Source organism: Homo sapiens, chromosome 3 (genome assembly GCF_000001405.40).
Source record: "Homo sapiens chromosome 3, GRCh38.p14 Primary Assembly".
Lineage (NCBI taxonomy): Eukaryota > Metazoa > Chordata > Mammalia > Primates > Hominidae > Homo > Homo sapiens.
Window position 1 is genome coordinate 98550864 of NC_000003.12, and position 15703 is coordinate 98566566.

The following is a 15703-nucleotide window of genomic DNA, read 5'->3' on the forward strand; positions in this document are numbered from 1 at the left end:
ATGGGTTCTTTGAACATCCCATCATAGGAGACATCTCCAACATCAACTCTCAAGACTTAAGTGATACTCCTCATTCCCCAGGATGCCCACCCCTCTTTAGCCTCTGGTCCACCAGCAGAGGGACTATACACCAGTTACTACCCCCCATCACCAACCCTTGGTTCACAGGCAACAATGAAGCATCTTTGCCCCCATGCAAAGTGGATTCCTGGCCTGATCATCTTTGCCCCCATGCAACATTGCCAAAGCATCTTTGTCCCCACGCAACAGCGAATTCCTGGCCTGACCATCAAAGTCCTAATGAACCAACTTTTGTATTTAGACTTTTCAGGAGAGAATCAACTTGTCTAGAGTGCTCTGGCATACTGCAAACACACTTAAGCTCTTTAAGAGTAGTCCCACGGAAGCCCCTCCCAGCTTGCTGGGCTTGGTGTAGGAGACAGTAACTTTCCCAAGTGGAAAAAGCTGAGGCCCCATAGCACAGCTACTAGTCACTTTTAAGGAAAGCTCACAAAAACCCTCTCTTTATTCTCTGACGGGATCCAAGAGTTTGGAATCCATTCCCAGATATTATGCTTGTACCATCTGCATATAGTGACTTAGCAACAACTTACTTGAGATTTTTGCATTTATTTTATCTTTATGCCTTGTTGAAATTTCAATTTTAACATTCTGTTATATAGCTTTCTTTTCTGGGAAAATTCTCACAACTTTTAATATAGCATGACTAAAGCAAACCTGAAGGAGAGCTGAACTGCCTTCCTAGACTGGCTGTCTCATGCATGACCTCTACTCCTATTTGCCGAAAATATCCTCCCTATAACAAAATAATGGCAGGAATTTTAGGGGACTGGATTATTGTAAGATTCCTGGTGAAACCACAGTCCTCAAACCATACCTTGAAAAAATTCCTGCAGGAGTTAAAAACATTTCCCTTTATTGTATTCTTCTAATCTCCCATCTCATTCTACAAAACTCCTCCACAGAGGCCTTTGCTCCTCAGGCTTCTTATCTAAGTAGTGCCACGTGTCAAGTCCAAGGTCCCTGAATAGAAAGATTAGACTGGGTAAAACAGGAGTATGGCTTTCATGGGATCTGGGACCTATAATAACCTCTAACTATGAAGTTTAGGTGAGAGGCTTCCTCATCCGGCTACAAAGACCTCAGTTTCTTAGGTGTGAAAGGAGGAAGTTGAACTACGTAGTTTCAAATGACCCCTCCAACCTGAAAAACAGATGACTTTGATTCTAAATTCTTCAGGGAGTAGGACATGGATGCTGCAACAGTCTTATACCTTAGGTTAATTCTAAGAATTAAAAGAACCTTCACTGAAAGGAGAGTGACACTGACGAAGGTAGAAAGTTTTCGTGGTAGCTTCCTAAGGAAAATGTGGCAGAATTAAATGATCCTACTTGGAAATAGAGAAGTAAGATTTGTAACTACAACAGACCAAGCCATTCCCAGGCAGTGGATCTCACTGGGCAAGCAGAGACCTTGGCGTCTCTCACTGTACCTGGGCCACTTTCCATAGTCCATGCTCTGCCAGTGTTACTGAAACACCAAGGGTTTGGTCTAGGTCCTGCTGCTCACAGCACAGAAAGTCAATCACTGAGATAATGGTTATTGCCAAGGAAGAAGATTTTAATCAAGTGCTATAGCCTAGGAGATGGGAGGTCAGTCTCATATTCATCTCCCTGACTGACTAAAATTAGGACTTTATATAGCAGGAAAGAAGTGTAACTATGTACGGAAAAACAGGAACCTGGGAGGGATAAGGGTGCAATCATGATGAATGAGGGGCCCTGAGTCTCAGTGTCTGGATGCTATGATCTGGTGAGTTTCAGTTCTTTCATACTTTTTGAGAGGGCTAGGGGTCCTATCCTCAGAAAGAAACACAGATAAAACAAATGTAAGTTTCAAGCTTTAAGAAGAGAAGGGACAATTTCTGTTTATCCAAAATAACTGTCTATGAAACTATTGGGTGAGTTTCACCAAGTTTGAGTCCAAAGCCTATCTCAAGTCAGGTAATCCATTAATGGAAATGGAATCTCTCTCTCTCTCGCTCTCTCTCTCTCTAATTGTACAAAACTCTTAGATTACACTAAAAGTGCCTCATATTCTTTCGTGGTATTAGGTGATGTATCAGGATCCCAGGAGGAAACAGACAGCTTGCCAAAATTAATCAAAGGGTGCTTTCCAAAGGGGATCACAAGGCATAGTGCGGTAGCCTGGGGTTTGTAACAACAAAACTTTTATCTATGTCCAAAAAGAAGAAGAAAGAGCTGTTCTAAGCCCCTGAAAGAAGACAGTGTGCTGCCCTCTCCACATTTCTCTAGAGAAGGCTTCCAACTTGAAGCGGCCCCACAGGGAAAGTGCCAAAATAAGTACCCGTGAAGCCAGTAAAAGACATTTTGAAGTCATCCCAGTTCTTGCTAGTTGAAGTACTTTCCAAAGCAATTCTCTTAATGCTTACAGTTCGTTGAAAGTGTATCCTCACTGAGGAGAAGCCAGAGGCAGAAAATTCTTCCGGCAATGCACATGCAAAACAACACTGACTTTCTGATGTGGGTTAGGTGTGAGTACAATCTTAATCTAAAATGACTCCTTAAATATGCTCCTCTACCTGAGATTAAGGTACTGGGGAAAAAAACGTTCTGAAAGTTTGCTACTTGTTATTCTTTCTAATGAAATACAGGAAAAACTTATTTTTCTTTGGATACACTCAGTGTGAATAAAATTAACTCATGGACCAAATTCCTAGATTTAAACTGGAAGGAAGTAAGCTCTAGAGCCCTATCTTAAATTCCCAGCATTGTTTCAGAAGGCCACTGGAGTCAAACTTTCATAGCCTTAGCATAGAGTTGTTTCATCTGAGGACCTTCTCGTGTGTCCTGCGCTGTCCAGTATATTTCTTCATTTAAAAACTTCAGTTAGATCTTTTCTCTTAATTGCATTTTTACCCAAAAGAATAAGCCAAATTCCTGCAAGGTTTAGGAAATATATGTATATGGCAAAGTACTGGACTAGCGAATATATGGCAAAGTACTTCCTCACTTCACACCCATACTCACAACAGATGTGGCTAATCAACTGCTTCCAGTTCCTGGAAATTGTAAAATATGGTAGTGAGTTTCTCTGTCAACAAATTCTCTGTTGGCCAAAGGAAGTAGCTTCTGTGTCCTTCCTCTTTTAGTCCCTTCAGGCCTTTCAAAGTGCTATTAATATATACTATAAAAGCTTTGTTAGGATCTATGTAATAAATCATTACCTCATAGAAATAGATCATTCCCTGTAATTAACCTTTTACCAGCATTACTAATCAATTATGCTTCTCTTTCTTATCTGCTCCTGTTAATCTTGTAACATTCCATATGTTAAGTAGAAATCATAACTAATTAACATTTATCCTTTAGGTAGGCCAGGCTACTTACTAAAAATACTCTGCAAAACAGTTTGTCTTCTTATGGTTTACTGTTTACAACCTGAGCCAGAATCCTTCCACTTCCAAGTAAGACTGGGGTTCAACTGGGGTGGGGAGCACATCAAATGAGGGGGTACATCATTCCCTCCTTGTCTAATGCTTTAAGACTAATCAAATCAAATTCTGTAACACTAAAGTTGGAAAAGAACTCTCTTGATGCTTAAGATAAGTAATTTTTAAGACAATGTAAATACACTTTAACGAAAGGAAAGAAAAAAGGGAAAAAAGACAATGTAATACACTTAGAACAAAAGACTTGTCATACACGATACATAACACAAAAGATTAGCTTCAGGAGAATGTAGATAATTGCATGATGGTAGATTTTTATCTTTCACTCATTTGTTCAACAAACATCAACCATTACCAAGCCAAACACTTGCCAGATACTGTTTTAGGCATTGTATATAGGCTCATCCTAGACTTTAAAAATTGTCTGGAGAGTAACCACCAGGTCGCCATACATAATATCCCTGGATTGGTCTAAAACAGGTAGGATTTGGGTGGATGAATTGTAAATCTGATCCAGTTTGGCATTTCTTATGATCTAATAACAATTCATTGTGTATATTGATTTAAGAAAATATAGAAACATAATACTACCTAATGCAAACTCTTTGATCTGAGTGATAAAGAATTTGTATAAATAGACAAAAATAAACACCCAGACTGAAGTCCTACCTGTTCACTTGATTAAAACTGTATCTCTTTAAAAGATGGATACTTTGGCCAAATAGTTGGCTTTTTCTGTTCTACGTTCTGAGCTACACCAGTTTCTCCAACATCAAAGTTTCCTTTTCCACCACCTTAATTCGCCATCCTGCTGTCCAAAGCTCATAACTTCAGAGCTTCACTTTGTCCCCAGACTTATACACTGAATTCCAGTGAACCAGAAAGAATGCTCATGGAATACAATTAGTGACTAAACAATTCCAAAACGCTATTGGTTTGCTTTCTTTCTAGACGATGTACTTAGAAGAACAATAATAAAATTTCAAAGGGACCAAAATCTTTCTTTCTACTCCTCTCACATGAATCACCACCTCCTTTGCAAACAAGTGATTATTTACAAAGCTTGTTAAAAAAGTAGTTTAGGCTTGCATTTCATTTAGAATTGCTCTATTGCTCCATATTTTGTTTTCCCCTATGATTTAAGAATAGTTTTATTGTACATATCTTTACAAATATTTAAATCAAAGAGAATTACTGTAGTTTAAAAAATAGAAAAACGGGGCCAGGCGTGGTGACTCACGCCTGTAATCCCAGCACTTTGGGAGGCTGAAGCGGGCGGATCACCTAAGGTCGAGAGTTTGAGATCAGCCTGACAAACATGGAGAAACCCCGTCTCTACTAAAAATACAAAATTAGCAGGGCATGGCGGCACATGCCTGTAACCCCAGCTACTCGGGAGGCTGAGGCAGGGGAATCGCTTGAACCCAGGAGGCGGAGGTTGCGGTGAGCCGAGATGGCGCCATTGCACTCCAGCCTGGGCAACAAAAGCGAAACTCCGTCTGAAAAAAAAAAAAAGAAAGAAAAAGAAAAAGAAAAACAACAGAGGAAAAAACACGGCATGGGTTATGAAAACAGTTATCGAAACAAAAGATTATCTCAGGTGAAAAAAGGAAATTGACAGCGCTACGTAAGCAAAAAGATCTCAGATTGTACTTGTTGACCAGGAGGTAACTGGTAATTAGGAAAGTAAACATTTCTGCCCTCATCTACTATGCAAAACTACATTGTCTTTTCATAAAATTTTGCAGAATCTTACCTTAAAGGGGAAGATCACAGGTTACTACATCACTGCTTTTTTATTCAAACTAAAAATCATACTTCAGTGTTTTTAAAAAGTTAAATGAAATCCAGAACGCCAAATAAAAGGCCAATAGAGAAAAAGAGAAGGAAGCCAGATGCATGCCTGTATTTCTGGAAGGAGAGTTTCTCAAAGGCTTTTTTTTGAAACCTCCTTAGCTAGAGCTAAGGTTTGAGGTTAGCTGAGCATCGCGTGCCATTCTTGAAGGGTCCTAGGCACTGACTCATTTGCTTTATCATTTCTCATGAAAGCAAGAGGTGGCAGCCATCACCAGAGAGCAAAGGGGTGACTTGGTGACTGATCTCATTACTGAACTAAGGAGAGCACTCTCACGCAAAGTTCAGAACCTCCCCACACCCAGAGAAACTCTGCCAGTTCATAGAAAAGAAGTTATTTCCACCCAAGAAGACAAGTGGCAACTGGAAACAGATGTGAAGAAAACAAGAATAAACACCTTTTTCAGAAATATAACAACTGTAACAAATAATCAGTTTTTCCAGTTCCCACCTGTACACCATGCTCTCAACTATATACTGCAAGTTAAAACAGAATTGATCATGGTTCTGTATTTTTAAATTCTCTCGCTTTCTAAATACATCACTTCACTTTTAACAGTCCAAAGAGCTCTTTATAATTTACTTCCTCTAAGGTAAATTTAGGTGCAATTTTAATAGACTGGTAGGGGCAAATGCCTCATTCCCACCCAAAGGGTTGAGGAATGAGTGATGGACACGGTGAGCTAGGAGAAGTAGAAAGTGATCAGTGCCCTGTGGGAAATAATGGGAATGTCACAGGTTTCTTCTTTTCTGGGTCACTGGGGCATGCCTTTTGATTGAGCATAACACAGATTAATGTCATTGCCTGTGGATTTTGGAAGGAAATTGCAACAACTTTGGTTGATCACTTACTGGAGTAGAGACGGGGAGAGACAGATACTTTTCTACTTTACATGCATTTCTATTTCAATCCTTTAAGCAACCAGGAGAGTAAATATTTTTATTCCAATTTTAGGATGAGAAAGTGGACACATGGAGTTAATAGAAAAGGAGAGTAAAAATGATGGAATACAGGCAGACTGGCCCCATTGTCAAACCGTAGTCTGAATGTTTCAAAAGCACATCTGCCTTTTTTGTGACCAATAACCAGCATTTTTGTATAACTACAATTAGTGAAGCATGTCCTCATATATTATCTCAATTTATCCTCATTAAAGCACAGATAGAATGTGCTATTCTTAAGCTTGTTACTCAGGTGAGAAAAACGAGTTTCAGGGAATTCTCAAGATCACTCATCCAGGAAGTGATAGAGCCACCACCAGAACCCAAATCTTGTGCCTTCAAATCAAATCCTCTCCTCTTTCAGTTTTGCCTCTCACCTCTCATCTCCACTCCCATCCTCTTATGATTCATGGGAAGGTTGTGAGCTGCCGTAGACTCTCACACCCACTTGCAAGCTGAACTGGAGCTTTAGCCTGTCAGCTACACAGCTTCCTTGTAGCACTTGAATTTTTCATCAGTTATTTGCACCTTAATATGACAAAGGATATGAGATGAGGTTTTTTTGTGACACATTGTAATAACCCAAAGTTGTTAGTTTACATTAGGGCTCACTCCTGGTGTTGTATATTCTATGGATTGGGACAAATGCGTAATGACATACATCCACCATTACAGTATCATACAGAGTAGTTTCACTGCCCTAAAAATCCTTTGTGTGCCACCTATTAATCCCCCCTACTCCCCACAACCACTCATTTTTTTACTCTGAGATGAGTTTTTAACGGTAGGAAAAAAAAAGAAAATTTGAACAAACAGAAATACAGAAGATGAGGGCATTTAGTACTTAAAATATGTGGGATTATGTGGGTGGGAGAATTGAAGATCTAAGGAGAAACTGCAACTTTGTAAGTGAATTAGAGACACATCTTTCTCTTCCCCACCCATCCTCCCGTCTTGATAAAGACTCAGCTCAGTGGTTTGCAAACATTTTTTTAAATTTAATTTTATTTTATTTTAAGTTCTGGGATACACGTGCAGGATGTGCAGGTTTGTTACACAGGTAAACGTGTGCCACAGTGGTTTGCTGCATCTATCAACCCATCACCTAGGTATTAAGCCCAGCCTACGTTAGTTATTTATCCTGATGCTCTCCCTCCCCCGACTCTGACAGGCCCCAGTGTGTGTTGTTCCCCTCCTTGTGTACATGTGTTCAAAAACCCTACCTTGAAGTCAAAGCTTACATATATATACATCACATATTAGGTAAGAACATAATTGACATAAATTTGTGTTGGAATAAAAGCATAGCTATTTTAATCAGATTTATAGTCCTATATGTACTTCAGCATTCACTTCAGCTGTTTGGAAAAAAAGAACAAAATAAGAAGCTGGATCTCTCTCAACCCTTATGTCAAAATACATTTCTGGTGCAGTGATGTGCTAGAGTTGGCATATATCAGCTGGCAAGAGCCAACTGTGCACATCTTTTCCTAACTCTGTGTTCAGCGAAGTCACATGGGCAGCTTGAAATTGGACATGATGGGAGTATTTACACTTTGGAAATTGGCAAATACTACAATTCAGAGCTTTTTGTTGTTGTTTTGAGAGCCAATTTTGTAGTCATTGCTACTGGTAGGAAAAAACTAGTATCTTATTAACTCAGAAGATAATATGGGAGTTTTCCTTTGAACAATTCCCAGTGTGGTAGGGAAAGCTTTATAAAACCTAAAATCTTTTTCTAAAAGATACATTTTACACAAACACATAGACCAATGGAACAGAATAGAGAACTCAGAAATAAGACTGCACACCTACAACCATCTGATCGTCGACAAACCTGACAAAGACAAGCAATGGGAAAAGGGTCTCTATTTAATAAATGGTGCTGGGAGAACTGGCTAGCCATATGCAGAAAATTGAAACTGGATCCCTTCCTTGTACCTTCTACAAAACTAAAACTCAAGATGGATTAAAGACTCAAATGTAAAACCCAAAACAATAAAAACCTTAGAAGAAAATCTAGGCAATACCATTCAGGACATAAGCACAGGCAAAGATTTCATGATGAAAACACCAAAAGCAATTGCAACAAAAGCAAAAATTGACAAATGGGATCTAATTGAACTAAAGAGCTTCTGCACAGCAAAAGAAATTATCATTAGAGTGAACAGACAACCTACAGAATGGGAGAAAATTTTTGCAATCTATCTGATGGGCAAAGGTCTAATATCCAGAGTCAACAAGGAACTTAAACAAATTTATAAGAAAAAAACAACTCCTTTTAAAGGTGGGCAAAGGACACGAATAGACACTTCTCAAAAGAAGACATTCATGCAGCCAACAAACATATGAATAAAAGCTCAATATCACCTATATTAGAGAAATGCAAATCAAAACCATAATGAGACACAATTTCATGCAAGTCAGAATAGCAATTACTACAACATCAAGAAACAACAGATGCTGGTGAGGTTGCTGAGAAAAGGGAACACTTTTACACTGTCAGTGGGAATGTAAATTATTTCAACCATGTGGAAGACAGTGTGGCAATTCCTCAAACATCTAGAAGCAGAAATACCATTTGACCCAGCAATCCCACTACTGGGTATATACCCAAAGGAAAATAAATCATTCTATTTTAAAGATACATGCATGCATGTGTTTATTGCAGCAGTATTCCCAATAGCAAAGACATGGAATTAACCCAAATGCCCATCAATGATAGACTGGATAAAGAAAATGTGATACATATACACCATGGAATACTACGCAGCCATAAAAAGGAACAAGATCATATCATTTGCAGGGACATGGATGGAGCTGGAAGCTGTTATCCTCAGCAAACTAATGCAGGAACAGAAAACCAGGCACTGCATGTTCTCACTTATAAGTGGGAGCCAAATGATGAGGACACATGGACACACGGTGGGCAACAACACATGTTGGGGTGTGTCATGGGAGCAGGGGGAGGGAGAGCATCAGGAATAATAACTAATAGATGTTGGGCTTAACACTTAGGTGATAGGTTGATCTGTGCAGCAAACCACCATGGCACGCATTTACCTATGTAACAAACCTGTATATCCTGCACATGTACCCCAGAACTTAAAATAAAAATTGATGAAAAAATAAAAGATACATTTTACTACAAAAAGTAAACATTTTCTGCCCTAAAAAGATGTATAAACTATGTTACAATAAAAATTTCAAAATGGGGAAAAACATGCATACTTATAAAAAAGGGCTAATTTTCTTATTATACAAAAAGCTCTAATAGCAAAAAGATCAATTCAATATAAAGCGAGTTAAGATATAAATTGGCAGTTAACAGAAATATAAATATAAATTGTCAATGAATATTTTATAAATGCTCAACCTCCTGCATAACTAAGTCCAAGTTGGAAAAAAAAAAACTTTTTTAAAAGTTATAAAATGGCAAAATTATAGTGTGAGCTTCAATGTTGAGGGTAGGTATGGAGAAGCCCACTCATTCACTGTGGGACACTGTTAAATTAAATTGCATATTATTAAGTGAAATTTAAAATTCACACTCTTTTCAACTATTTTCAATTCTATTCCTAAGAATTTGTTTTACAGACTTTTTATATTCTCACAAAAATAAGTAGACGTGGATGATCATTGTGACATTGTTTGTCTATTAGTTATCTACTCCTGTGCTTAAAAATTACCCCAAAACTTTAAAGTTTAAAGTCATAATAGACATCATTATCTCATAGAGTTTCTGTGTCTCAGTTATTGGAGAGCAATTTAGTTGAGTGGCTGTTTCATGGGGTTGTAGTCAATGTGTTGACAGAGACTGCAGTCATCTCAAAGTCTGACTGGGGCTGGAAGATCCAATTCCAATTTGACCTGTGGGCTGACAAGTTGCAAGAGGGCCAAGCTCCTCACCCCTTGCCTCCCAATATAACTGTTGGAGGATCTTCATGATAAGTTAACTGGCATCTCCCAGAATGAGTAATTCAAGAAAGTACAAGGCAGAAGCCACTATGCTTTTTATAACCTAGTCGTGGAAGTCATATGTTGCCATTCGCACAATGTCTTCTTGTTACACAGGACAGACTAATTCAATGAGGGAAGGGAATACACAAGGAGATAATGCTCATTGGGGGCCATCTTTTGAGACTGCCTGCCACAGTTTGGAAGGATGAAAAAAACAAAGAAAGGAAAAGTATCTTAATATCCATTGATAAAGTACTGGGTAAATAAATTTTTAAACTTAATTAAATGTTATAGAGCATTTAATATATTAATTAAATGTTATAGAGCTTTTAATATATATTTAATATGTAATATAAAATTATAAGGTGTTTATTAAAAAGAAGGAAGCAGCCTAAATGTGTTGCTATGGAAAAATGCCCAAAATACACTAAAGTATATAAAGCACATATTTATATATTTATTATAAGACTCCTTCAATATTTTTATAAAAATAGACATTTATGCATAGTTATATGCATAAGAGTGAGAAATTTCCTCAAAGATGTATAAGGATCTATCAGTGGGTGGTGAAACCTGGGGGTGAGATAGTGGTAGGGATATGTAACTTTTTATTTTATGCCGTATACTTATACTAGTAATGTTTGAAAAAAAACTTACAATGAAAATGTATTACATTTATAATATTTAAAACTAGCAAAATTATGCTCCACAGAGCTCTACAGGACACATAGCCAAAGGGGAATATCATTTGAGCCAAGCTCAGACAGACTTCTCCCTGACTATCTCCTGCTCAGAGGAGCTGAGTATGTAGGCAGGAGAAACATACGTTGGTTTTCTGAATAGAGAACTGAGAGCTACCCAATCTCTAGTCTTCAGCCTTTGCAAAGCTGGATTAACAAGATGGTAATTATCCCAAAAGTAGAATTCTATTGTGGCATATTTCTCCCTATTCTGAAGCCATAGGGTCCATCAGAGAATCAGGAAGCTGAGAATCTGCAGGGATGGCAGGGTATGCAGTCGGCAGCAGTTACACAGGATCACACCACAGTGGAAAACCTCTCAGCACCTTGGTGTTAGCAAAACTCAGCTCCAGTGGATTTCCAAAGCATCCACTACTATTACAGCAAGGCCAGGGCATCTGAACACCTGTCTTAGAAGATTTTCAGGAACTGTAGCGGCTGGGAGTTGAGTGAGCACTCTTGGTGGATTACCTTGAAGTGATGGAGACCCAGGTCAGCCTGTGCTCAGTTGATTACAAGGCCAAGTTGGGGGTTTGAACCCTCAAAAGAAATCCTCCACTGAGTTGAGGAAAAGGATAGCTGAGAATTGTCTGCAGCGAGAAACCACAAGACCTCTGAGTCACAGAGCTTTAAAGGAAGCCTTCTAATAGCTGGTATCAAAATGCAAATAATATAAGAATTATACAGATGCAGTTAACATTTATTGAAGACTTATTTTTCATCTACTAATTATACTCATTTTGTAGATGAAAAAGATGAGAATTGGAGAAGTTAGGCAATCTTCCCAAGGATATTACACATCCTTTAAATTTTTCAGTTTTAACAAATGATTCAAAAATGTCTTTTTAAAAAAATGAAATTTTGATCAAACATTTTAAGAACTTCTGAAACATTTCTGCACAAGACAATTTAAAAACCACTGCTTTGCTATTTAACCACTGGAACCAGTAGGTGGAATTTACGGAAAGGTAGATTTCTGTTCAATATAAAATATAAGTTTATTCATAACTAAATTATCCAATTATAAAATGAAATTTTCTGAGGGGTAGTTAAGTTCTCCATCACTGGAAATGTTCAAGCAGAATCACTATTATTACCTCTTAGGTATATTAGAAGTGTGAGCAGCATACAATTGGATTTCCTTCCAAAACTAAGATCTGATGTTCTCTGAAAAGAGGCTTCACTTTTCTTTCTTTCTTTCCTTCTTTTTCTTTCTTTCTTTCCCTCCTTCTTTTCTTTCTTTCTTTTTTTTTTTCTTGAGGTGGAGTCTCGCTCTGTCGCCCAGGCTGGAGTGCAGTGGCACAATCTTTGCTCACTGCAACTTCTGCCTCCCAGGTTCAAGTGATTCTCTTGCCTCAGCCTCCTGAGTAGCTGGGACAGGCATGTGCCACCAAGCGCAGCTAATTTTTGTATTTTTAGCAGAGATGGGGTTTCACCATGTTGGCCAGCCTGGTCTCAAACTCCTGACCTCAGATGATCCATCTGCCTCGGCCTCCCAAAGTGCTGGGATTACAGGTGTGAGCCACCGTGCCTGGCATTCACTTTGTTATCTCTCAGGTTAAATTGAGTCAAAACTTCTGATTACAGAAGGCTGAACTAAGTATATTTCCTGAAATTTTGGAGTTTTAATAGTAATAGTAAACATGTATAAAGCACTTACTATGTGCTTGGCACTGTTTTAATTGCTTTACATTTGTTAACATAGGTCATCTTTTCTACTGTCCTATTGAGGTATGTATTATTTATACAGAATTACATTGAATTCTAACCTCAAAATCTAGCTACCAAGTCCATGTTCTTCAGCAGTTTGTGATATTTATGCTACATATAGTGATACAGTTGCAAGTATATGACCCTACAAGTGGATAAGAGTTTAGCTAAAACACTGCAAATAAATGAATAAACAGATGCAGGAAGTGGTTTGTTGCATAATAGGGAGTTTCTATCCATGTTTCTATAGTTGTGTCACCAAACCACAGGTTGGTACTTTGAAAAAAATCAGTGCTATAAAAGCTTTCGTATCATTAACATTCCTTAATTCTGAACTCAGTAAAAGCTTAATCAAAGATGGTATTAGGAGAATACAAGTTCTCTAGCATTTTTTATTTGTTTGTTTCCATAACTATAGGATTTGTTTTCAAAGAGTAACAACCATAAGACATTTACAGTTCCTTTCTTGAATGCAAATAATGGTTAGGGGCTGGAGGCACCTAAACTGTGAGACAAGGTATTGATTCCTATTGAGCTTTCATAATTCTGGGTGAGAGTGATGTCAGAGGCCAGACTATTTTTTTTTTTTTTTTTTTTTTTTTTTTGTGGCAGGGTCCCTCTCTGTCGCCCGGGCTGGAGTGCAGTTGTGTGATCTCAGCTCACTGCAACCTCCACCTCCCAGGCTCAAGTGATTCTCGTGCCTCAGCCTCCCAAGTAGCTGGGATTACAGGCACATGCCACCACACCTGGCTAACTTTTGTATTTTTAGCAGAGACTAAACAGGGTTTCACCATGTTGGCCAGGCTGGTCTCAAACTCCTGGTCGCAAGTGATCTGCCTGCCTTGGCCTCCCAAAGTGTTGGGATTGCAGGTGTGAGCCACGGCACCCAGCCCAGACTACCTTTTGCTCAGCACTTGGCTCTGTGGGGGTGAGCAAAAACTTCAACCCTCCACACCTCAATTTTCTCAGGCATGCAATGAGAATAACTTCCTCGGGGTTATTTCAGATATTGACTAAGTTAACTTAAGTAATGTTAGAACACTGTCTGGCACCCTCAGTGTTGGGTATTAGCACTAGCTGGTGTGAAGAGAGATGGAGCATATAAATGTAAATTTAAGTTTACAAAGAGATAAATAATTTGACTGTTATGTGAGAGTCAGGTGAGAGTTACAGATACCAAATATACCTGGGTTTAAAGAGAGGTGTGACTGTTATGGGTGGCAGTGTTGTGGCCCACAGGGGCAGACTCTCAGGGTGAGGATACTTGAGCAGGGCCAGGAAATGAATTATTTTGTTCACCTTTGATGTGGCCCACATTCAAATGCTTCACAAGTACAACGTTCTCAGCTAAGCTAAGGTGGTCTTCGATACGCACTTGACCACAACGGAAAAAAAAAAAAAAAAACAAAGAATGAAAAAGTTAAACAACAGGTGGGAAGTCAATGCTGAATAAAAAATTAAGATACGCAAAAGTTAACATGTTATTTCCTTCCTAAATAAAACACATGTGCATACAAAAATACATGTATAATATTCTGATATATTTATAAATACCTATCCTTGAATTGTTTTTCACTTTTCCAGCCAAATTCCCTCATCAAATTACTGAATTTTCCTAGCTTAAAAATTATTATTTTTGATTTTGACTAGAGAAAGTGAAAGGCAATTTACTGCCACATCTATCTATATTACATAAACATACATGCTCATATATACTTTCCACTGGGAAGGGAAGAATCATGATATGAAAATGACTAAACTCTTTCTCTCTGACTGATCTAGTCTCCTCTTCTTCCTACCTTTAAAGTGCTGAACAGTCATTTGCCCAGCTTTCTATGTATCAAATATCTGATTGTTTGTTTTAATGTCTTCAGTGCGGCTTTAACTGATTTCCTGAATACCTAATGTCCACATAACACTTAAAAGCTTGTAAAACTCTTTCCCATATGTTATTTTATTGACTTCCCACAGTAATTTTTGGAGGTACACATTACTCATTCTCTTTTACAGAGGAGTTAAGAGTAGAGTCTGTGTGACGTCCCCTAAATCACACAGCTATGACCGGTCTGAAATATGGGCTCAGGTTGTATGGGAATACTACCAAAGATTTCAGAAATGATCATTATGCATTCACGGGTCCTCTGGTGCCTGGTTATAAAGTAAAAGGGTGAACAATTCAGATTTATATTTGAATCTCTGTCTATAAAGTTTTTTTGTGTTACAGCCACTTGTCTTACTTTTATTTCATTTTTGTTTTTTTTTTTTTTCTTCTATCTGAAAGAAAGCTAGAGAGTTATTTCCCCTCACAAGCTTCAAAAACCTGCCAGGCAGAGACTGATTCCCACAACCCCTCTCTGTGGTCTGGGCTTCAGGGAACAAGAAGTAGAGTGGCGGACCACATTCTTCCTCTAGTAGCAGAGACACACTGGACCACTGGGTCCTGGGAAACTTTTCCCAGGGACTGTCTTTATTGCTCCACTCTCACGACAATAACACACACTCAAACAAGCACTCACGTAACCCTGTATACAGCTGCATCAGCACCCAGAAAACGTGGCCTAATGTAGCAAAGGTAATTCCTACCGTAAAGTCCTTTAGCAGAAATGGTTCACGATGGGCCTGTAACAATGTAAGGAGTTTTTACAAAGAGCCAGGGGTAGGGCACAGGGAGAGGGTGGGGAAGGGCCATTAGGGGAGATGTAAGCGGGACACTCAAGATGGACCAGGAACTTATTTGAAAGCGGTAGTTAACAACCAGAAGGGAGAAGAATTTCACCCAACCCAGGAAATAGGAACCCGTGGCCTAACGACCCCTTGGGAATCCTGTGTCTTTAGCGGAAGGCGTGAGAAAAAAGGAGTAAAGTGAAGTATAACTGAAGCTTCAGGAATTAGAGAAAATGGAAAGGGTGCATGTAGGAAGGAAAAGAAAGACAAGGTGGAGGTTAAAGGCAAGTTGCAGGTTTTAGTGGCATGGTGATTAATTTTATGTCAACATGGTGGGGCC

The 15703-nt window shown here is 38.6% G+C and overlaps 6 annotated features.

Moving 5' to 3' along the window:
* Positions 1243-1292: an enhancer, noted in NCBI's record as "active region_20138". NCBI's record gives its function as "activates an Ori minimal core promoter by ATAC-STARR-seq in GM12878 lymphoblastoid cells {active_cell/tissue: GM12878}" and the evidence as "EXISTENCE:reporter gene assay evidence [ECO:0000049][PMID:35858748]".
* Positions 4920-6119: an enhancer, noted in NCBI's record as "P300/CBP strongly-dependent group 1 enhancer chr3:98274627-98275826 (GRCh37/hg19 assembly coordinates)". NCBI's record gives its function as "activates an origin of replication core promoter dependent on BRD2, BRD4, P300/CBP, MED14 and CDK7 cofactors, with strong dependence on P300/CBP, by STARR-seq in HCT116 cells {active_cell/tissue: HCT116}" and the evidence as "EXISTENCE:reporter gene assay evidence [ECO:0000049][PMID:35650434]".
* Positions 5171-5490: an enhancer, noted in NCBI's record as "active region_20139". NCBI's record gives its function as "activates an Ori minimal core promoter by ATAC-STARR-seq in GM12878 lymphoblastoid cells {active_cell/tissue: GM12878}" and the evidence as "EXISTENCE:reporter gene assay evidence [ECO:0000049][PMID:35858748]".
* Positions 5621-5700: an enhancer, noted in NCBI's record as "active region_20140". NCBI's record gives its function as "activates an Ori minimal core promoter by ATAC-STARR-seq in GM12878 lymphoblastoid cells {active_cell/tissue: GM12878}" and the evidence as "EXISTENCE:reporter gene assay evidence [ECO:0000049][PMID:35858748]".
* Positions 11409-11458: an enhancer, noted in NCBI's record as "active region_20141". NCBI's record gives its function as "activates an Ori minimal core promoter by ATAC-STARR-seq in GM12878 lymphoblastoid cells {active_cell/tissue: GM12878}" and the evidence as "EXISTENCE:reporter gene assay evidence [ECO:0000049][PMID:35858748]".
* Positions 12513-12572: a silencer, noted in NCBI's record as "silent region_14559". NCBI's record gives its function as "represses an Ori minimal core promoter by ATAC-STARR-seq in GM12878 lymphoblastoid cells {active_cell/tissue: GM12878}" and the evidence as "EXISTENCE:reporter gene assay evidence [ECO:0000049][PMID:35858748]".